We start from the raw sequence: 23,213 nt of genomic DNA on the forward strand, positions 1-23,213 counted from the left end.
TGGCCCCTGCAAATGGGGCCAGGTGTCACTGCTGGGAGACGCCAGTAAGGCTGCACGTCATGGTGTGAGCACTTGTCTTTAATGACTGGGAAAATCCATTTCCTTCCTTGGCAGCTTTGAATGTAGCAACTGTGGTTCTGGGTCACTGCCAGAGCCAGCCTTGTGTGTATGTGTGTGATTTTTTAAAGTGGGGGAGAATGTCTCAATATTCAATGCTCACCCCCTTCCTTCCAAGTTGTACCCCCAGAGAACTGTCCAACACAAACTTTGGAGTTTTCCACTCTGGGAGTGGTCTGCTGGCACCCACGTGTCCTCCCCTCCTCTAATGCATCCTTTCTCTCTTGATCTCATTGTTCTGGGGTCCTCAGCTGAGTGGGCATCTGTGCCTGGGTGATCGATTCTAGTCTCTTTTCTGCAGGAGAGAACTCTTGAGCTCTGAGACAGGTAGAAAGAAAATCTTAAACCAAATAATAATGTTCTGCCTCACACTAGTAAATATTTTGCACTAAAAAATTCCGTGTCATTTTGATTTGTTCAGGTAGACAAGAACATCTTTTGTTTGAGGAAGAACTGAAGAGATTTCTTGGGATTCAGCTCCGATGGCTCTGCCTGTATCTCTCTATCATTGGAGCTTTGTTTTCCACCTTTGCAAGACTTGAGTGAAGGGAAGGCTTTGTGGTCTATTGTTAGGTGCTCTTTGAATCTATAAATCACAGGCTACAGGAAGGGAGGGGCTTCCAGAGACCATCTAGAGCCACCCTCTATCTCTAGCAGGGACACACACACACACACACACGTACACACACACAATGACTGCCTGTTGCGCGTTTCTAGAACCTAGTGGGGACAGGGGTACAGTTTCTTTTGGTGCATAGTTCTCATGTTGATTGGTTCCGACTGTCATGTTCTTGCACCTGTCCTGAGTATCTCTTGCTGTAGCTCTGGCCCTTTCCCCAGTCAGCTACTGCACTGCCCTGGCCCATGTTTCTTAGAGACATGGTTATCTCTGTGCTATTAGTGTCTGTGTCCTGGCCGAGGCAAGTCCCTTCCCTTTCTGAGTCTATATTCTTATAAAATGTGGCTTTGAGAATAGATGATGTTTCTGGTCTTAAAATTCTCTTTGACTCTGGAGTTCTGGATCTGTGCTTCTGTTTGATGTTGTTTCTCTTGCTGGGTGACCTTCTCTCTGACTCCCTGCTGTAAAGACCTCCTTTTTTTTTTTTTTTTTTTTTTTTTTTAATCAAAACCTAACTTGGTCCGACCTACCCCATGGCTGACCACCCAGGCACTTGCTTTTGACTTAAGGGTAGCACCATACGATGTCTTCTTTTTGTTTTTCATTTTAACAACCTGTATTTTTCACATCACAAAACCTTTCTAGATATTCACTGTAGAAAATTCAGAAAATATAGGTCAATAAGAAGAAAAAGATAGAAATCACTAAACTTCTATCAGACATAACCGCTGTTAAGAATTTGGTATATTTTCTTTCAGTCTTTTTTGTAAACACTCATACATAGGCCAGTGAATTTCATACTATGTAATTTTGTGTTCTGCCTTTCCACCTAATAATATATACTGAGCATTTTTGCCTATCATGAAACATTTGTAAACACAATTTTTAATACCTATTTACTACTTTACATCTCCTACTTTAGCCCTTGCATAATTATTTCCAAATGGAACAAATATCTGTCTTGTCCAGCCCACTGAACTGGCCAAATCAAATGAGATAAAATATGCAAAGAGCTGCACAAATATAAGTGATGATTGTTCATTTTGTTAGTTTTATCTCCCCAAGTGAACTACTTTACCGTATTGTCTCAAAATCGTTAAACAGTTTCCTGTTCACCAAGTTTTGCACAGTGGTGGGCAAAACATGCTGTCTGGCTGTAATCTCTTAAAAGGGCGTTACATATTAATAACTTTAAAAGTTTTTTCTTAGCAACTTCTTAGAAACTCTGGTCTAAGGAAATTATTCAAAATGTTATGTGCACAGAGATGTTCACTATGGCATTATTTACAATAGCCCCAAACTAGAAATCACCAAAATGTCTAATTATATGGGAAGGAGGTGAAGTAAATGATGATGAACCCACTTTCTAAGCTATTATATAGCTATTAAAAGTGATGTTTACAAAGCCTTTGTAATAAAATTGGAATATGTCATAATTATGGGAAGAAACAAAGGTACAATATGAGAGGGAAAAACAAAGGTACCTGCAGAGAAAGACGCCAAAATGGGAATGGTGGTTGTTAAATAATGGGCAGTTGTTTTCCTTCTCTTTTTCTGCTTTTCTTCAGCGAGCTTGTGTGCCTTTGATACATTAAAAGGTAGAGAGACAGAGACAAGAAGAGAGAGAGAGGAGACGAGAGAGAGAGAGAGAAACAAGACGAGAGAGAGAGATGAGACAAGAGAGAGAGAGGTGAACCTTGTTTTTAAAATTACCTGAAAGGATTTATGCAGAAGAGAGAAGGAAGGGGCACAGAGCTGAGTTCAAGAGAAGGGAGTGACCCAGAAGTGGGAGAAGCGGGCATGAGGGCTGAAGCCTGAATTGAGCTGAGACTTGTAGAAAATTCTCAGAACCACCAAAGGAGCCTTTTAATTTTTTTGGAGTAGGAAGAAAACAGGCACCTCCTTTGAGCATGCTAATATAATTATAAAAGGAGAAACCAAAATAGCTAGTTCCTAATTTGTTCACCAGACTTCTTCCTTCTCTGACCAGCGTGGGGAACAGGCTTGGTGAGACGGACATGAAGACCCATCCAGGCCATTGAGGAACTGGGGGCTAAGAAGAACTTCAGGGAGACTGACAATGGCCACATTCTGTTGTAATTTATAAAAAGTGAAGGAAAATAGAATTGTGTAATGTATAAATTTGGGTGAAAATAACAGCCTCCAGTAAAATTTCCTAAATGAGTTAAAAAAAAAAAAAAAGGCATTTCAGACTTACGGAAAAGTTACAAAAATCTAGCAAGGATCTTACGTTTACCTTCACCCAGATTCCGCAAACGTTAACATTAATTTTACCCTGTTTGCTTTCTCTCTCTGTTTTTCACTCATTTGCTTTACATATATATCATATATATGCACACTGTATGTATAATATATGTATACACATGTACATACATATTGTCTTGTGAACCAATTTGAAAGTTGCAAATATAATGTCCTCTACCCTTAAATACTTCATTGTATATTTCCAAAAAGAATGACATTTTTCTTTTTCTTTTTTTTCTTTTTTTGAGATAGAGCCTACCTCTGGGTAGAGGCCTAGGTGACACAGCAAGACCTCTGTCTCAAAAAAAAAAAAAATATATATATATATATATATATATATATACACACACACACACACATATATATATTTCACATACCATAAAATTCATATACCATAATATCTGACTTTTAAAGTATAAATTTTAGTCATTTTATTTCATTTTTGAGACGGAGTCTTGCTCTGTGGCTCAGGCTGGAGTGCAGTGGCGCAATCTCGGCTCACTACAACCTCTGCCTCCCGGGTTCAAGAAATTCTCCTGCCTCAGCCTCCTAAGTACCTGGGATTACAGGCACCTGCCACCACACCTGGCTAATTTTTGTATGTTTAGTAGAGACAAGATTTCACCATGTTGGCCAGGCTGGTTTTGAACTCCTGGCCTCAGATGATCCGCCCACCTGGGCCTCCCAAAGTGCTGGGATTACACGTGTGAGCCACCATGCCCAGCCTCAGTCATTTTAATATATTCACAAATTGTGAATAATCACCACAATCAATTGTAGAAAAATTTCATTACTCTGAAAAGACCCCATGCCCATGAACAGTCACTCCCCATTTCTCCCTTCCCCTAGTCCCTGGCGACCACTAATCTGCTTTCTGCTCGGATGGATTTGCTTATGCTGGACATTTCCTATAAATGGAATCATACTCCAGGTAGCATTTGTGCATCTGGCATCTTTCACTAATCGTAGTATCTCAAGTTTCATCCATGCTGTAGCCTGCAACAGTGCTTCATTCCTTTTTCCATCTGAATAATATTCCATTGCATGGTATACCACATTCTGTTGATCCATTCAATCAATGGACATTTGGGCTGTTTCCACTTTTTGGTTATTACAGATAGTGCCACTGTGAACATCTGTATCCAAGTTTTTGTGTGGCTGTATGTTGTTATCTTTCTGGGGTATGTGTCAGGGGTTCCCAAGACACCACCCCTAGGTTCAGTGATGCACTAGGAAGACTCATAGGACTCAGCCCATAGTTCTTGTCATGGCGATGATTTATTACAGTGAAAGGTTTCAGAGCAGATGAGCACGGTGGCTCATGCCTGTAATCCCAGCACTTTGGGAAGCGAGGCGTGCAGATCACCTGAGGTCAGGAGTTTGAGACCAGCCTGACCAACATGGAGAAACCCCTTCTCTACTAAAAATAAAAAAAAAATCTACTAAAAAAGAAAAAAAGCATACCTGTAATCCCAGCTACTCAAGAGGCTGAGGCAGGAGAATCGCTTGAACCCGGCAGGTGGAGGTTGCGGTGAACTGAGATCGCACCATTGCACTCCAGCCTGGGCAACAAGAGCAATACTCCGTCTCAAAAAAAAAAAAAAGAAAAGAAAAGAAAAAGTAAAAAAGAAAGGTTACAGAGCAAAATTAGCAAAGGAAACAGTGGATGGGGACAACCCGGAGGAAACCAGGTGCAGGCTTCCAAGAGTTCTCTCCCAGTGAAGATGTGTAAGGTGTTATCGACCAGGGAAGCTCTTTAGAGACTCGGTGCCCAAGGTAGGCACCCCCTTCCTAACAAGTACCAGCATTCCACACTCCAGAAGGAAAGTAGCTGTTTAGCATAAGCCACATTGTACAAATGGTCCAGACACAGGACACCACCTTTATCAGTTAGAGACTGATAGGAGCACTCGCAAAACCCAGGTTCCTAGACACCAGCTGAGGACCCACCTCGCAAGCAGGCCTTTCTGAGGACAGACGTCTAAGACCTGCTGCATTAACTTTTCTGCACAGGTCCGTACCTAGAATTAGAATTGTTAGGTCATATGGTAACTCCATATTTAACTTTTTTTGCCAAACTGTTCTCCAAAGTGGCCGCACCGTTTTCATTCCAACCAGCCATGTATGAGGGTTCTGATTTCAGCATATCCTGGCCAACACTTTTCATTGTCCATCTTTTTTGGTATGGCCATCCTAGTGGGACTAATAGGTTTTTAAGTTAGTGATTTGCAAGCATTTAGGATTAAAAATGATGATCCGTAGGAGCCAAAATGGGTTCTCTAAGAACAATCATGCTAGTCTAACCCCCTATTTGCCTTAAAAAAAAAAAGCAATTTATTTTTCTGTACTAGCTGTACTAGGGCAGAGTGTCTTTATATTTCAGCCTGTCTTTCACAATATCTTGGTGTACAAAAATGGAGAATCGGGGGTTGTACGGATTGCTTGGCAGATTTCTTATTTGCTGATGAATGACATCAAAACAAACAAACAAAGAACAGAGCTGGGTCCAGGAGAGAGACTCCTGAGGCTGTTTTCCCAACTTAGTCCTTAGCTGGCTGTTTATGTTTCCGTTCAAAACCTGAGGGTAGATGCAGATAGCAGTCCCATCAAGTCTGCAGATTATGCAAAGCAGGCAGACACACGTGTTGAATAAGATCTTGTTCCAGAAAGGTTGGATCTGGAACCAGAGAGATCCTTACAGCATGGAATGATAGGCAGAGTCCAAAGAGATGGAAGTTATTAGGGACAAATGACAAGTCCACACCTACACAATCTGGCACAGAGGTGACCAGAGCGACTGTGCACTTTGGTTTCTGCCCATTTCCAAAAGAACAGCCAGCCACAACAAATGAGTGACAGAGGTGTGGGGCTCCTGGAAGAACACTATGTCATGTGGGTCTGCAGTTTCAGAGGGCTTAATAGGTGAGTGCACTTCAAGAGCTGGCTCCCCGTGGCTGAAGGTCTGTGGTATGGAAGCAGGAAGAATTGTCTCCCCTGTGGCCCATAAGGGAAAACAGATTTCAATTGATTAAAGAAGAACTTTGTGAAACTCCACAATCAAATGGGCCTGGGAAGGTGGAGAGCAGCCCATCACTGAGCGTGTTCAAAAAGATACCACTGGCTGGGCACGGTGGCTCACACCTGTAATCCCAGCACTTTGGGAGGCCGAGGCGGGCAAATCACTTGAGGTCAGGAGTTTGAGACCAACCTGGCCAACATGGTGAAACCTCATCTCTACTAAAAATATAAAAATTAGCTGAGCGTGGTGGCACGTGTCTGTAATCCCGGCTACTCGGGAGGCTGACGCAGGAGAATTGCTTGAGTCTGGGAGGCAGAGGTTGTGGTAAGCTGAGATTTCGCCACCGCACTCCAGCCTGGACAGCAGAGTGAGACTCCATCTCAAAAAAAAAAAAAAAAGAGACTACTATTAAGGAACTTCCCAGGAGACCTTTGAGGTCTTAGAACTGCCTAAGCATGACAGCAGGAACTGTCCATCTCTAAAGTCCAGGTATTACCCACGGCACACATCACCAGTTCCAGAGTGAAAACATTAGCCTTTCTGTAGGTCACCCTTTCTTGTGCCCCTCATAGTCCTACCTGTCCATCAGAACTCTTGTTCATCTGTCCACGAAGCTTCCCTTGAGACACACACTTGCCCCCTTCTGAACACCTGTTGCCCAGCAGCCCCTCCTCTGGCTTGTTTGCCTGTTATATGTCTTGCCTGTGAAGCGTGTGGTCCACGTTGAGTCTTCCAGCCACGTGTTAAGCTCCAGAGCCAATTCAGCAAATACTTAACAAGCACCTTCTTTGTGCCAGTCCTTGGATGCATTGTGGGGCATGTAGCAGTGAATGGGGGTGGAGGGTCTGACCAAATAGTTGCAGATATAAAAGCTTGACTGCAGGCCACCATGGGTCTGCATCAGGAATGTGGGAAGGATGACTTCAGACTGGGAGGAAGGTCTCCCTGCAAAAGTGCCCTTTCAGCTGGGACCTGAAGGAAGATGGGCAGTTGGCAGGGGGGTGGGGGGTAGGGGCTGGAAGTGCATTACCACCATGGCTATAGCCCAGACACAGGACAGGATACCTGGTAGGGGCTTGCTTAGGGTGTGTTAGGGAGAGAGAGAAGGACCACCTGGATAGGAGGCTGTCCCCTTCATCCCCTGTCCCCTGCTCACCCAGCACCTAGGCTGAGCCACCCATGGCCGGAGTCGGGAGGCACGTGTGCATTGAGGGAATGAAAGCAAGAAGAGGCAGCTCTGATTGCCTTGTGAATTCAGTCCCCAGCGATGCTGGGATGTTTTGTGCCTTCATTTCCTCCCTTGGTTTGGATAACTATGAAAACGGGCCACGTTCCAAACCTCACATTCCTGCAGTGACAGCTTCTTTGAGACCACGTAGATACCTATGATTCTCGTAGTTACTCTGGAACACCCACTTCTCTCTCTCTAGGTAGGGGGAATTTTCAGGGTAGGGTGTGGCCCCCCGCTTAGACCTCTCCTCCTTTTCTGCTGTCATTTATGCTTTAACAGCTTGCTGCTTGCCCCCGCCAGCCCCCCAGCCACCTGCCTCTCTCCCCCGATACTGACTTAATAGAGCCCTCAGATAAGAGAGACTGAAGGAGGAGGCCATTCTCTCTCAAGCACTCATGCCTGGCAATTATTTGTTGTTATTGCCAATTCAAGATAAGTAGAAAATAACAGAGGAATGGAACCAGGACTCAAAGCCCATGCCAAGCCCTTGGCTGTGTTACCATGACGTTTGCTTGTGTGTCACATGGGAAGCCACATGTCTGGCCAAGCCTGGGGGGGTGTCAGCTGCCCTGGGAGATGAGTGAACGGGGTTCTGGCCTGGCTGCTGTGCTGCCATGACCACTTCTCATCTCTGGGCCTCAGTTACATCATCTGTGAAATGGGGCAGTGGTGCTAGATTATTCTGCCATTTCACGGAGAGTCCAGGCCATGCACCTGTCAGGTCTTCCTGCCCACCTGGTCTGTGCGTTTGGGCTGCAGCAGTGAGAGTAGCTGTTTACTATCCCTGTGTGCCTGGAAGAGACGTCTCCTAAGCGCGGGCACCAGGAGTGGCCGAGCATGGAGAATACAGGTGGTGATATCCTAGAAAGTGGGCCGCTAAGGCGGGAAACACAGGCTGGGAGAGAGGAGGGGAAAGCCAGCGGACGCAGGACTGTCTGGGCGTGAGGTGAGTGATACAAACAATATAACAGATTGGTGCTTCTCACATGTGGCCCCTGGGCCAGCAGCAGCACAGGGGAACTGGTAGAAAAGCAGATTCTTGGGCCCCACCCCAGACCTGCTGAATCAAAAACTCAGGGTGGGGCCCAACAGTCTGTTTTAACAAGCCCCCCAGTGATTCTGATGCAAGCTAACATTTGAGAACTAAGAGACTGGATGAAAGGAGGGGTGGATAGATGAGGCTTGGAGAGCCAGTATTTTAAAGGTCAAGGAGGAAATCGAGCTAGTGCTTGTCAATCACTTGCTGTGTCTGGTCGGAAACTGGGCATTCCCACTACACTCTTTCATTTAAACCTATCAGGATGGTGGCAAGGCCTGCCTTGTCCCTTGCTAAAGCAGATCTCAGCTGATGCAACTGATTTCACGCCAAAGTCACAGAGATAGCGGCAGAGGTGGGATTAGAACCTCGGCATCTCTGATCTGGGAGCCTGAGTATTTCCCAGCACACTAGGCTGCCTCCCCATCCACCTGCGCCTCAGCTCTGCTGCCACCGCGGGCCCCGGCTCCTCCTCTGCTCCACGGGTCACCCCAGAACTCTGCTGTGTTGTGCTCCCTCTGCAGCCAGCCATGCCAAGGGAAAAGGGGCACACCATAAAGGCAAGTGAGGGAGACCTTGGGGGCTGCAGCGCAGGGTTGGGGGTGGACTGTGACCTTGCATCTGCTTCAGCCTGAAGGTCCTGGGGCAGCTGGGGAGCAAGGTGCTGGCGTGACGCTCCTGAGAGCTGATGCAGCTGCCTTGCATAGTAAGAACTCATGCATACTCTGGGTGACAGTCCACATAGGAAGAACTTGTGCATACTCTGGGTGACAGTCCATAGGCATCCATTGTGCCAAGCCCTGTGCTGGTTGCTGTGGGAGAAACTGAGGCAAGGCAAGTGTTGTTTCTAGCCTCAAGGAGTTTATGATCCAGAGCCAGAGGAACAACAAGTAACTGGGGTGAGCTGGAGTGCATGGGAGGCCAGGGCAGGTCAAAGGAGTTCAAAGAGACTCGTATGGTGATTTTAGGGGACAAAACCAAGGCTTTGGGGACAGACCTAAGGCTTTGGAGCCAGAGGGGATGGCTCAATTCCCAACATTCTCACTGACTCACTGAGCGATGTTGGATGAGTTACCTCATGTCTACAACCCGTCTCCTTAGCTATAAAATGGGTTAACAATACCTAGCTCGGAGTGTTCCATTATAGCAAGCACTCATTTTCCTTCCCTTCGGAGGATGACTTTAAGCCAGAGCAAAACAGGGAAGGCTTCCTGGAAGAGGTGACTTTTCACTTTGGCACTGAAGGATATCTAGAATTTAGTGCTTTTTCTGTCTTCTCTAAGAAATCTGTGGGTAGGCCCTAGACACATGGCGTTGTCTAAGAAGAATGACCTTCCCAGCAGCTATAACTGTACAAATAAAATCATGTTGCGAGGAAGTCACTTTCTCCAATTTGGAAAATTTGGAAGGTTATCTTTTAGTTTAAAAACACGTTGCAAGGGGCAAAGCCAGGCGGCCAGTGCGCACTGCCAGGAATCGTCACACTGAGGTTCTCTCTATGCTGCTTTTTCTTGCAGATGATGCAGTTTGCTTGGCAGAGCTATAAGCGTTATGCAATGGGGAAAAACGAACTCCGTCCACTAACAAAAGATGGCTACGAGGGTAACATGTTCGGTGAGTCGATTCAAACCACTTTGATATTGGGAGGGACCCACCGCCCCGCCAGTGGCCGAGTGGAATTTTACTTTTGGCTTTTCACCTCCTGAGCTGTGGGGGCTCCACAGTTCTCCAGATCTGGGGCCTTCCAAGTCTGTGTTTCCTCTGGGCTTTTCAGGCTTCTGAGTCCTCCTAGATTTAGGGGGAATCCTATATGCTTCTCTCTAGCCTTAGAGACTGCTTTGTATGAAATTATCGTTTATTTTTTAGAGTGAAGAAACTTGGAAATGGGAGTAGGGATAGTGAAGGATGGAGATTTGTTTCCGTGGAGGTTTGGAGACCTAAAGGACACAGAGGACCAGGTTTAAATCCACTCCTCTGGAGTGTGGCTGTGAAATGGTCTTGGATGTTTTCGTAGATTGCTGAACACATATCTGATGGGGCTGGGTACATGCTATTTAGAGTCGGGGCTGGGGGCCGGGCGTGGTGGCCTTCACCTGTAGTACCAGTCACTTGGGAGGATGAGGTGGGAGGATCCCTTGAGCCTGGGAGTTCAGGTCCGGCCTGGGCAGCATATTGAGACCCCATTTCAAAACGACAACAGCAGCAAAAACAAAAGGGTATAGAGTCATGGCTCACAAGCTACTCGGAAGCCAAGTGGAGCAGCCGCACATCAGGAGCGGGGGCATGGGGCATGGGGCCTGCTACTGCCTGGCAACTCGTATTTTATCTGCAGCCGCACTTGCTGGTGTCTTTGTCCTCCTCCAGCCACAGGATTCTCCTAACCTAGAGCCTTGGGAGTCTCTCTCTGTGGCTCAGAGGGACTGCAGGGTGCCTTCTTGTGGGCATGGGCTCAGATTCCAACAGTAACACCCATGCAAGTTGCCAGCCCCCTTGTCTGCAGCCTGGCCTCCATCTCCCCTGAGGGACAGGAGTGGTGTGGGGCTGGAGAGGGGCAGTCCCATACCTGGATTCCTCACCCCTTACAGATACAGGCTCCTGAAGTCAGGAACCAAATAACTGAGTCTGAGATGGAAATTCCCAGGAAAATCTTCAAGGCAAATTTACAAGGGATATCCCCCCATCACCCCCATCGTGTGCAGCCCTATCAGAGATGTCCATGTTATGGAAAGAGTGACAGGAATCTGCCCTCCTCCCCTTCACCAGTCAGATCGTCACCTGTCTGACTGTTCAGACATTTCACTCCCCTTGTGGGAAGTGGGGTGTGGACTGGGGCAGCTTTATGTATTTATTTTTCTCATTATCCTAGGAGTGTATGGGGGAAAAGGAAAGTATCAAAAAAGTGCAAATCAGGCAAAAAAAAAATCTGTTCTGCTCTGTAGATGCAGCCTCCATTGACATCTTTGCTTATTCTCAATCTTTTCTTCTTTCTGCTTTTTCTTCCTTTTATATACCATTTTATGTCCTTTCTGCTTTTTTTTTGACTTCATGTTATATCGTGTTTCCCGAAGTCATCTAAATGTTTTCATAAAGAATGTTTTAACGGTGTCTGTGATTGTATGGATATGCCATAATTCATTTAACTATCTTGCTAATGTTGGGTAAAGATTGTTTCCATTTTTTTGCTATTAAAAATAATGCAAGACTTATCTTTGTGCATAAAATTTTGTCTTGGGATGGATTTTTAGAGATGAATTCCTGAGTCAAATGGGAGGAAGAGAGATGTTTCTTTTACTTCAAATATGAATTAAAGAGATGTATTGATTCCCATTAGGAACCTGGCTGTCTTACCTGCCTAGAACACAGAACTTCCCCACATAACCTACATCAGCCCTGGGGAAAGATTGCTGGTGCAGATCCCATCAAAGTTGTGGAGCTTTTGCTGTTAGTATAAACAGGGACATTATCAAGAAAGCTTCCTCCTTCTCTCTAAACACAGTTTGCAAATATTCAGGGAATTGGTGGTGGGGTGGGAGGGGCTGATGATTCCTGAAACTGCACACAGCATGGGCGCAGCTATTGCTTATACCATCACAGGAAACACTTCTGGGAGGGATTCCATTTTGTAAAATTCCTCAGGGCCTGGGATTTAAATCTCAACCCTCTGGCCCCTTTCCAGTCATCAAGCCTGGTGGCGCATGCTTGAGCCGTCTGGAATGGTGGAAAGAACCCGGAATTAGAATCAGATGACCTGGGCGCAAGTCCTCACTCTGTCCTGAGCTATGTGGCCAAATCCAAGGCACTTAACCTCTCTTGGTCCCTGTTAGTTCATCATTCATATGGGACTGCTATAAGGATATAAATGAGTATGTACGAACAAGCAAAGGGCCATGTCTACATGAGTGATTTATGATTTCTGTTGTAATAAATGAGGTTGGCAGTTGTCCCAGTGAGCCTGTGGCAGGCTCTGAGGTCCCTTGGGTTGTCTGTCTCAGGAGTAGCCTTGGCAGGGCCCAGGGAGCCCTGTCATCCAGTACATGTAGCGTTCCTAGCAGTGAGGCAGAGCCTTCCCTCTGCAGCCAGCAGATCAGCCGCAGTGGGTGGCTGGCACCTGGGAAAGGGAGATGCATGAGGACCAGGCACTGGGTGGGGAAAGCCGGTCTTGATTGACTCCTTCACTCCATATGTAACTTGTTAGGTGCCAGTGCCTGGTGCTGACTGCTGGGGATACAGGGATAAATGGGACAGCGAAAGTTCTACCAACTCTGCCAAGACATGCACTGGCAACCCTTCCTGGAGCCTCTTGGGGGTCTGTCTAGGTGCTCTCAGAGAGAGGGACAAGTGGGGGTGACCACAAGTGCTGACATGGGCAGTCCTTACGGGCTGGAACTTCCGGCAGACCTGATTTAAATTCAGACTTTACTACGTCCTGGTTGTGTGACCTTGGACAAGTCATTTCTCTCCAAGGCTGAGTTTTTCTGTAAATTGGAACTAATGATATACTCAAATCCTGGCCTAGGGACTGCCTGACAAATAGAACCTGTTCGTAGGTAGTAGCTCAGATTACTGTCACCACAAATGGGTCATAGGACACGAAGGCTTATGGGTACACACCCAAAGGAGGAGGGCTGAGGGGCATTCTTGGAGCCTGAGAGGGGTTCTAGTTGGGGTGAACCCATGAGGGGCATTGAAGCTAGACTATTCCTGAAGGTAGGAGATAAACTGGCCTGAATGAAGCAGCTTGTCACCCACCTTCTTTTCTGGACTCATGGGGGCTGCTGGGTTGCATCATTCCTGGACATTTAATGTCCTCCCTATAGGCTGAGCCCTGCAGACATGGGACACTGGGTGCAGTCAGGTGGCAGGTTGTGCCCATTCTGCTGTGCTGGCTGAGTAGGGTATACGAGGAGACCCTGAGCAGCGCCCCGCCTCCTGGTGCTCGGCTTGGACACTGGCTCTTACGGCCTCGTCCCTGGCCTGCAGGGCTGGCAGGGCTGTGTGCGGGGAAGGGTAATGAGTTCACACAGGTGCCTAGTTTTGCTGAGATTTACAGGAGCTGCAGCGAGGGCAGTCGGATGCCCAAGCCTGGTCTCCTGGTGTGGCACTTCACCAAGTGAATCCCCCTCCCAGTCGCCCACTTGCCCTTCCTTGAATCTATTCTTACTTTAAGGACAAGATCTCTGGGTGAGGCGTCTCTGAAGCCAGTTTCTGTGTCCTAAGCAAGTCAGTGTCAAAGTGGCTTTCTTTTTACCCACATCCGGCTCAGCAGGCCCTGTCAGAAGATGTTCCCCAAACCCCAGTGGCCACCAACAACGAGGATGCAGCCCGTTCCTCGCCTTGTGGCTCAGGCTAAGGCTGATCTCTGCCTCTTTTTTTTTTTTTTTTTTTTTTGAGATGGAGTCTTGTTCTGTCGCCCAGGCTGGAGTGCAGTAGTGCGATCTCAGCTCACTTCAGCCGCTGCCTCCCAGGTTCAAGTGATTCTCCTGCCTCAGCCTCCTGAGTAGCTGGGATTAGAGGCGTGTGCCACCACGTCCGGCTAATTTTTGTATTTTCAGTAGAGACGGGGTTTCACCATGTTGGTCAGGCTTGTCTCAAACTCCTGACCTTGTGATCTTCCCTCCTCGGCTTCCCAAAGTGCTGGGATTACAGGCATGAGCCACTGCGCCCGGCGCATATCTGCCATTTTCTCCTCTGCTGAGAGGTGGCCAGACAGGGCAGTTATTGTCTGGCTGGGTGGCAGAAAGAGCATGGGCTTTGAATCCAGACAGGCCTGGGTGGAAACTCTGGGTTACTGCTTAGGGGCTGTGGAGTGGGGCAGGGGTCCCGCCTCCAGTCTGTGGTGAGGATTAGAGAGGAGACCTGCAAAGGCTTAGCCCCGTGCCAGGCACAGAGCAGGCACTTGATCGGGGGGTGCTATTATTGCCATTATGTCACAGAGGTGAATTTGCAGCTTGAAGAATGCATGGCAGAGTCAGGGGAGGCAGGGGAGGAACCAGCCGTAAAGTGGCTCAGTACCCTGAGGCCTGGCTTCCTCGCCTGTAAAAGGGTACAGATGTTACACCTGCCGCTAGGCTTTGGGGGAATATTAAATAAGCTAGCTAAAGAACATGGACTCAGCCGGGTGCAGTGGCTTACACCCGTAGTCCCAGCACTGTGGGAGGCCGAGGCGGGTGGATCACTTGAGGTCAGGAGTTCGAGACAAGCCTGGCCAACATGGTGAAAGCCCATTTCTACTAAAAATACAAAAATTAGCTGGACGTGGTGACATGTGTCTATAATCCCAGCTGCTCGGGAGGCTGAGGCAGGAGAATCGCATGAACCCATGAGGTGGAGGTTGCAATGAGCCAAGATCGCGCCACTGCCCTCCAGCCTGGGCAACAGAGACTCTGTCTCAAAAACAACAACAACAACAATTAAAAAGAACTTGGACTCTGGGGCCAGATGGTTTGCATGTGCATGCTGCTTTGCCACTGCATGACCTTGGGCGAGTTTCTTAACTTCTCTGGGCCTCAGTTTTCCCATCTATAAAGTGGGAACAATAATGGTACCGCCTTCACAAGATTGTTTTGAGAACAAAATGAGTTCACACACATGAAGTGCTTATATTCATGCACAGCACATAGGAAGCATTCATCAAGCGTCAGCTGCGATGAGGATGCTGCAAAACCCTTAGAACAGTGTGTGCTGCTCCCATTTTGATTGGGGTGGGCGTCCAAGTCCCCTGGACCCAGGAAGCCACATGAGGACTTCAGGGCTTTCCCAGCCCTGATTCCCCCTGTTTTTTCCCCCAGCCCTCAAATGCCCATGGCAGAAATCTTGGGTGAGCCAATCATTGGTAGGCTGTGTACCTCTCACAACTTCATTTAAGCAGCTTACACTGGAACTTTTAACAGGAGGAGGTGGGGAAGGTTAGGGTTCACAATCTTGGAATAAATCAGCCTCCTGCCAATGGCCAATGGGGGTCAGCTGGCCAGCCTTGAAAGTACTTAACAGATATCCATCTTTCCAATAAATCTGTGTAGTCCGTGAGAAATTCATCCTCCCTTGGCAGCAGGGGAAATTGTCAAGGGGCACAGAGTCCTGGAATGTCACCCCAGAAGGGTTCTTTGATGGCGAGTCCAACCCCCTCATTTAGAGTTGAGGAAACCAAGGCTCAGAGAGGGGAAAGGGCTTGCCTGGTGTGATCCAGAATGTTAACTGGGGGACCGGGACTGGAACTCTGGTGTCCTGAGTCTCAGTGCAGCGCTCTTTGCGCCGCACACTCTGAGATCAGCTAGATCGTTCAAGGCCATGCTGTCAAAACAGAGCTCTGCCCATCATGGCCAAGTCACCACTAGCAACTAGAAATCCTCAGAGCATTAGCAGGGGGAAACTGTCTCTTAGGAGGTGTATGATTTCGGGCCCAAGAACCCATTCCTTGCACATACATTATGCCAGGCACCATAGCTGTATTCACTCTCTTTCTAAAATATATATATTTCTTAATTAATTCAGACGGGGTCTTGCTGTGTTGCCTGGGCTGATCTTGAACTCCCATGCTCAAGTGATCCTCTCAAAGTGCTAGGATTACAGGCGGGAGCCACTGCGTCCAGCCCATAGCTGTATTCCCTTTGTCTGCCTCACAGCCCTTATAAAATCTAAATTACCCATCTTATCCCCATTGCACAGATGAGGAGATTGGGATTTGGCAAGTTTGAGGACTTGCAAAGTCTTAATCCCAGTTCCGCTGGACTTCAAAACCCAAGCCATAAACTACCATGCTGCCATGTCTCCCAGTGACCACATACAGTGGCCGCCAAGAACACAGTGGGGTAGGGGAATGGTCTCTGGGTTGGTGTGTGCCACGTCCTGTACACCACTGCCCCCAGTGGAAGGCCAGGGAAGGCATGTGATTCGTGGTCAGGGTCTGCAGCCTCCCATCTCTAGGCATCATCATTTATTAGACATCAGCTGAGTACTCAGGGGTCGAACAGAAGACTCAGATTTCCCTCTTTTCTTCCACCATAGGAACATCTTTTATGCGTGCCTAATAACCTAAAAACATCTACAGTTCACCCTTGAACAACACAGGGGTAAGAGGCACCAACCCCCTGCACAGTTGAAAATCTGAGTATAACTTTTGACTTCCCAGAAACTTAACTGCTTATTAGCCTACTGTTGACTGGAAGCTTTACCAATAATAAAAAGTTAATACATATTTTGTATGTTCTGTGTATTATATACTGTATTATAATAACATAAGCTAGAGAAAATTAAATCTTATTAAGAAAATAAAGGAAGAGAAAATATATTCACTGTCCATTAAGTGAAAGTGGATCATTATAAAGGTCTTCATCCTCATCATTTTCCTGCTGAGCAGGCTGAGGAGGAGGAAGTGGGGGTTGGTCTTCTGTCTCAGGAATGGCAGAGGCAGAAGAAAATCTGCGTTGGCTGGGTCCAGTGGTCCATGTCTGTAATCCCAGCACTTTAGGAGGCCAAGGTGGGCAGAGCCCCTGAGGTCAGGAGTTCGAAACCAGCCTGGCCAACATGGTGAAACCCGTCTCTACTAAAAATACAAAATAATTAGCTAGACGTGGTGCCGCCCACCTGTAGACCCAGCTACTTGGGAGGCTGAGGCAGGAGAATTGCTTGAACCTGGGAGGTGGAGATTACAGTAAGCCGAGATTGCCCCACTGCACTCCAGCTTGGGCGACAGAATGAGACTCCATCTCGGAAAAAAAGAGAAAATTTGCGATTAGGTGGACCCACGCATTACAAGTTCATGTTGATCAAGGCCAAATGTACTTGCAAAACATACCATTGGCTGTCAGTGTGATGGACAGAGAGGAGAATGGATTTGAGAACTAGACCAGCCTAAGTTTGAATCCTGTCTCTGCCACTTTGTAGTCTTGTCACTTTGGGCGAGTTTCTTAACTTCTCTGCACCTAATTTCCCCATCTGTACAATGGGGATAACAACTACTTCACTCAACAGCTGTAAGGATTAAAGAAAGTTGATGGGTGTAAAACACCTGGTGTATAGTACCTGCCCATATACATTCATAAAATGTAGGCTGCTGTGATTATTATGTTTGTAAAAAGTAATAATGAGAATAAGTATAGTCCAAGGAAAGAAACAGTGCCTGGTGCAGAGTAGGCTTTCAGTACATTTTGTAGAATAAATAAATTGCCTAGTGCAGTCTCTGAGTGCCCTATTTTCCCTCATGTCCTTCGGCCTGGGTTTGGCTGGGTAAGGGCTGGGTCTTGCTGTGTTCTCTATTCCTCTCATCCCCTGCAGCTGCCTTGACCTCTCGTCACAGAGTACACTCCGAATCAGCAGACAGACCCTGTAAAAAGTAGCAGTTCTGCTTAGTCAGCAGATCTGATGTTCAGGCCTCTTCTCTGTGCTTGTGTGGCCAAAAGTAACATCTCCCTGCTCTGAGCCAGCCCCAGGATGACCATGAGGAGCCCCAAATTGGATTCCGCCTCTGCCTCGCAAATCCCCAATAGAACTGCCAGCCAAATCCCCATTTTGAGGGATGATTTATGGCCTTGGGTGAGTTAAGAGGCAAAATGAACACAGCATGATTTTCAGATCACAGGCTGGGAATGTTCAGCCTTGGCAGAGAGAAAAATCATCTTTGCCTTGTAAACGGAGCAAATATGATGTTGAAGAGGGAATAAATCCAGGCCCCAAGATGTCATTTTTACAATTGCTTTTTGGCGTGTGACTTAGTAGTGCCTTCTGCAAACTGTTCATACTCTCCCCCTCCACACACACACACCAGCCTTGGTGGGTCTTTTTGTCGGGGTGAGAGTTACTCCACCAGTGTGGCTGCCTTGGGAACTGCAGATGTTGCCAGATAGATAGTTTGTGAAAACCAGCTGCTTCCCTAGTACGTGGATCTCCACGTATGTTTCTGGGAGGTAGCAGCTTTGACTTCAGAGATATGCCTGGGTTTAAATCCCATCCCTAGCACTTACCAGCTGAGTGAAATTGGGCAAGTCACAAACTTCTCTGAACCTCAGTCTACTCACCTGTGAAATGGGGGGTTAGCACATAGTAAGCCTTCACCAAACATTACATTTTTTTTCTTCCCTGCAGGTATACACACCCTTCCCGGTGTATACATTTGACTTATCTGGCTGAAAATACCATAACTACTTGATGAGTTTTGGTTTTTGGAGGTTTTTTTCTGGAGAAAAAAAATCCATAGCTCCTGGAAACTCAGTGTTGGGCTATGTTGCTCACTGATTCTGGCAGGCCGCGGTGCACATTCCTGACCCAGGCTTTGAGTTTGTTTTGAGAAAAAGCTGTCATCAGCTTTGTAAGTGGTGATGTTGCAATTCCTTGGATAGAATGGGTCAGGCTTAAGGGCAGCAAGCAAACCTTCCTGGTAGTCACATGCTTTGAGAGCCCTGAAAGCGCCATCCGGAGGCCAGAGGATATAAAAGTCGGAGGAAATGGCTTAGGAGCACTGGTCACTGATAGCCAGGCCCTTAGCCCAAGGAAGATAAGAGAACCTGCTGTTAGACAGATGCTACGGCCCCATGGTGGTCTCCTTGTGGCCTTGAGTGACATGTGCACAATTCCTCGGCCACCTTCTGATGATCAGAACATTCCTGGGGCCCAAGGGGTGATCATCAGAGCAAAGCACGCCTCGAAATTAGCTTGCTGCAGTGTCGTGCACTCACACCGCCGACCGACCACTCACCGCTCCACACTCTGCGCTTTCCTTCTTCAAAGAGTTTTTGCCAAGCAGTTTCTAATTAAGATGCATCTTGGCCATTTTCTTGTTCTTTAAAAGGCTTTCCACTAGCACAGAGCATAATTTATTTCTCTAGAAAATATAGTAGCAAGTTGTTGTCAAAAGAAAATTGGAGGTTAGGAGCCTTGGGTTCGTGTCCCCGCTCTGGCGCCAGCAGCCGAGTGAGCCGGCCTCCTCTGGGCCTCGTCTCTTCATCAGTACAAAGGGGTTTGCTTTGTCTCTGCCCAGGGTTCTGTGACTGCTGGTTGGTTACTAGGTTGATTTCTTTCTGTCTTTCTTTCTTTTTCATTTCGAAGGGGGTATTGGGCTGGTCTTCTTGGAATCTGAGATTTCAGCAACAAGTCTTGTTCCTGTCAGGAGAGGAGTGAGTCAGGGTGTCTATTCCCAGAGCAAGTTGCTGGGGATGTAGGAGATGATTCATATTGAAATTGACATTCTCTCCTGGTGGCAGCGTGTTCCGCCCACTTTGCGAAGACCTTTCCTTCCTTAGAAACAAGGCTGAGCCTACAGCAAGAGCCTCCTTTTCTTCTCACCGCATTGATGGCAGCACTTGCCAAGTTTCCCAGCAAACCCTGTGACAAATAGGTATGTGCATTCCCAGAATCTCAGACTACCAGGCCACTTGGATCCTTTGTAGCCTGTGGTCCAGTGTCTGAGGACCGGGAGGCAGGTCCTGAGAGGGCCGGGACTACCTGAGGTCAGACAGCCAGGATCGAACCCTGGTCTTCTAACTTGAGCCTCTATTTTTTTTTTGTTTTAAAATTACTTTTTAAAAATTGGGGTATAACTTATAACATGTCTACATTAAATTGCACAAATCTTAAGTGCACAGTCTAATGGATTTTACATATAGTTACCTCTGTGTAACTGCCATGCAGGTCAAGATTAAAAGCATTTCCATCACCCTAAAAGGTTCTCTCAGGTCCCTCCTAGTCTGTAGCTCCCCAAGGGTAGCTGCTGTTCTTTTTTTACTTTTCTTTTCCTTCTTTTTTTAAATATAGACAGGGTCTAGCTCTGTTGTCCAGACTGGAGTGCAGTGGTGTGACCATAGCTCACTGCAGCCTCTAACTCCTGGGCTCAAACAATCCTCCCACCTCAGCCTCTGGGTAGCTAGGACTACAAGCACGGGACACCACGCCTGGCTAATTTTTTAAATTTTTTGTAGAGATGAGGTCTTGCTATGTTACCCAGGCTGGTCTCAAACTCCTGGCCTCAAGGGGTCCTCCTGCCTCAGCCTCCCACAGTGTTGGGATTACAGGCGTGAGCCACCATGCCTGACTGAGTGGCCACTATTCTGACTTCTATCACCATAGATTAGTTTTGTCTGCTTTAAAATTCTGTATTATACTGCATGTACTCTTTTATGGCGTGCTTTTTTCCTTGTTATTGTATCATGAACACTAGTTTGTTTTTCCTGTTTTTCTTTCCGTTCTGTTCCTGGACATTTTTATTTTCAGGATTTGGTTGTATCATATCAGAAAGAAACCTGTACTCAATGGCAGTTACTCCTCATTTCTCATCCTCTTTCCCCCCTTCCCCAGCCCTAGGCAACCACTAATCTACTTTCTGTCTCTGTATAGATTTGCCTGTTCTGAACACTTCATATAAATGCTATCATACTGTATCTGGTCTTTTGTTACTGACTTCTTTCACTAAGCATAAGGTTTCAAGGTTCATCCACATTGTAGCATGTATTATCAGTACTTCATTCCTAGTGTTATTTGGAATTGCCTAGGAATATTCCTTTGTATGGATATCCCACATTTTATTTGTCCATTCAGCAGCTGATAGACGTTTGGATTGTTTCTACGTTTGTTTGCTGTTATGAATAATGCTGATACGAACATTCATGTATAAGCTTTTGTGTAGACATAGGTTTCCATTTCTCTTGGGTACATGCCTAGGCATGGAATTGCTGGCTCTTTTGGTAGCTCTACATGTAACTTTTTGAGGAACTGCCAGACTGTTCTATAGCGGCTGCACCATTTTAAATTCCCACCAGGGGTGTTTAAGAGTTACGAACACTTCAGTGCATGTTTTTTGGTGGAAATGAGGAGTCGTTTATGTTGGAATACACCTAGGATTTGAATTGCTGGGTCATACTGTATTGGTATGTTAAGTTTTAGTTGGAGGCTGCCAGATTTCCAAAGTAGTTAACCAATTCGTAGTTCTGCCAGCTGTGTGTGAGAATTCTAGTTGCCCCATTATCCTTGCCAGTGCTTGCTATTGTCAGTATGTTTAACTTTCGCCTCCTGCTGAATGCTGCCTCTCTCATCATCAAACCCCACAATGTTCAAAGCCCCAGCTTCCTGGCCCAGAGCTCCCCTGCACTGCCTGCTAAGCGCTGGTCTAGAGATGGTCCCTGCTCTTCCTGCCTTCACTTACGGGTGATTTGGGGCTCCCACACCAGCTGCCTCAAGTGCTTCTTGCAGCAGCAGGAGCAATCAGTGAAGTCTTCCTTCATCCTCTTCTCTTCACACTCCCTGGTGCCATGGGGTGGCCTCTGTTTCCCATTCCACTGCAGCTCTGGTGTGACAGGCTTAAGGTTCTATTGAAGTAGAGCTTCTCCAGTTTGGTACCAGGATAGGGGTATTAATGGAGAAAGTGTTGACCTAGGAGTCAGGAGGCTTGGGTTCTTCAAACCCTGGCCCCACCACTAACTCACTGGGCAGGGATCACGTTTCCTTTCTTAGCCTCAGTTTTCTGTCCTGTAGAATGGGGATGATAATGCCCTCTTACAGGATTGGTGTTGGGATCTCATGAGACCGTTCCTTCATGCGGGTGGTTGTTCAGTGCCTGCCATGCGCTACAGACTGTTTAGGCATAAGACAAGTAGCAGGGAGCAAGACAGACGCTCTGTGACCCTCCCCGGCCAGTGAGGAGACAGACGCATGAATCATACTTCCAGTGAAGACCGTCCGTGCGAGTGCTGTGAGGTACAGGCTTACACCAAGGGCTCCTCAACTCATTCTTGGAGGGGTGAGCTTCAAAAAAGCTTACTGGGGCCGGGTGCAGTGGTTCATGCCTGTAATCCCAGCACTTTGGGAGGTGGAGACAGGCAGATCACAAGGTCAGGAGTTTGAGACCAGCCTGGCCAGCATGGTAAAACCCCGTCTCTACTAAAAATACAAAATTAGCTGGGCATGGTGGCATGCATCTGTAACCCCAGCTACTTGGGAGGCTAGGCAGGAGAATTGCTTGAACCCTGGAGGCGGAAGTTGCAGTGAGTGGAGATCGCGCCACTGCACTCCAGCCTGGGAGACAGAGCAAGACTCTGTCTTGGAAAAAAAAAAAAAAAGCTTCTTGGGAAGGCTGACCTCCATACTGAGACTGGAAGCATGAATGAAGAAGCATGAAAGGCTGGGCGCAGTGCCTCACGCCTATAATCCCAGCACTTTGGGAGGCCAAGGCAGGCAGATCACCTGAGGTTAGGAGTTCGAGACCAGCCTGACCAACATGGAGAAACCCCATCTCTAATACAAAGTTAGTTGAGCTTGGTGGTACATGCCTGTAATCTCAGCTACTCAGGAGGCTGAGGCAGGAGAATCGCTTGAACCGGAGAGGTCGAGATTGCGGTGAGCTGAGATTGCGCCATTGCACTCCAGCCTGGGCAACAAGAGCGAAACTCCATCTTAAATTAAAAAAAAAAAAAAAAGAAGAAGAAGAAGAAGCATGAGAGAGGGATTATGGCACAGAAACACATGGGCAAAGTCCTAGATGGGAGATGTGGCAAGACCTCGGCCCCTTGGGGTCTAAAAGATGTTCAGTGTGGCTGTACTGGGTGGGGGCCATGGTAAGAGACCATCTGTGAGTGGTGCTGGCATATAAATGGGGTCATAAATGCAGCTCCTGGTATTTCCTCCCCACTCTAGGTCCCAAGAGCCAGGATACCTGCCTTCTAATTGCTTTTCAGCCGTCAGTCGACTCTGCCACCCAGATGAGGCCTGATCCCCATCACAGAGCGTGGGCGTCTGGCATATGGTCTCTTGAGTTACTTCTAGGTCCTAAAATAGCAGGTGATTGGGCCACTACTGGGTGTGTTTCATCCTGGCTGATGACAGCCTGGTGCAGCCAGGCAGACAGCAGGGTCAGCCCTGGAGACAGAGGTGCTTCATGGGTCACAGTGGCCCCATGCCGGCCCCACAGCCAGTGGAGACTGAGCCATGGCCACCTCTCTGGAAG

At 47.3% G+C, this 23,213-nt stretch overlaps 1 protein-coding gene across 6 annotated transcripts in view, besides 4 other annotated features; it reads left to right on the forward strand.

The window, feature by feature from the left end:
• MAN1C1 (mannosidase alpha class 1C member 1) overlaps window positions 1-23,213 on the forward strand; it is a 167,660-nt gene that overhangs the window by 59,845 nt on the left and 84,602 nt on the right. For 5 of the 6 annotated variants that reach the window (NM_001385182.1, NM_001385183.1, NM_020379.4 and 2 more), the window contains exon 2: window positions 9,805-9,901. In NM_001385182.1, the coding sequence (NP_001372111.1) occupies window positions 9,805-9,901 (97 nt within the window). Of the gene's footprint in view, window positions 1-9,804; window positions 9,902-19,519; window positions 19,617-23,213 lie in introns of those variants that run through there. The other variant, NM_001385185.1, reaches the window with a different exon arrangement.
• Window positions 15,882-16,130: a silencer, noted in NCBI's record as "fragment chr1:26019008-26019256 (GRCh37/hg19 assembly coordinates)". NCBI's record gives its function as "represses an EF-1alpha promoter that drives an FKBP-Casp9 reporter gene in an ReSE screen in HepG2 liver carcinoma cells {active_cell/tissue: HepG2}" and the evidence as "EXISTENCE:reporter gene assay evidence [ECO:0000049][PMID:32094911]".
• Window positions 19,075-19,574: an enhancer, noted in NCBI's record as "H3K4me1 hESC enhancer chr1:26022201-26022700 (GRCh37/hg19 assembly coordinates)". NCBI's record gives its function as "activates a minimal SCP1, AML or CMV promoter by ChIP-STARR-seq in primed H9 embryonic stem cells {active_cell/tissue: H9 hESC(primed)}" and the evidence as "EXISTENCE:reporter gene assay evidence [ECO:0000049][PMID:30033119]".
• Window positions 19,075-19,597: a biological region, named in NCBI's record as "Sharpr-MPRA regulatory region 1026".
• Window positions 19,303-19,597: a silencer, noted in NCBI's record as "tiled region #1026; HepG2 Repressive non-DNase unmatched - State 10:DNaseD". NCBI's record gives its function as "represses a minimal TATA promoter and a strong SV40 promoter by Sharpr-MPRA in HepG2 cells {active_cell/tissue: HepG2}" and the evidence as "EXISTENCE:reporter gene assay evidence [ECO:0000049][PMID:27701403]".

The sequence above is a fragment of the Homo sapiens genome, chromosome 1, assembly GCF_000001405.40.
Source record: "Homo sapiens chromosome 1, GRCh38.p14 Primary Assembly".
NCBI classification, from domain to species: Eukaryota; Metazoa; Chordata; class Mammalia; order Primates; family Hominidae; genus Homo; species Homo sapiens.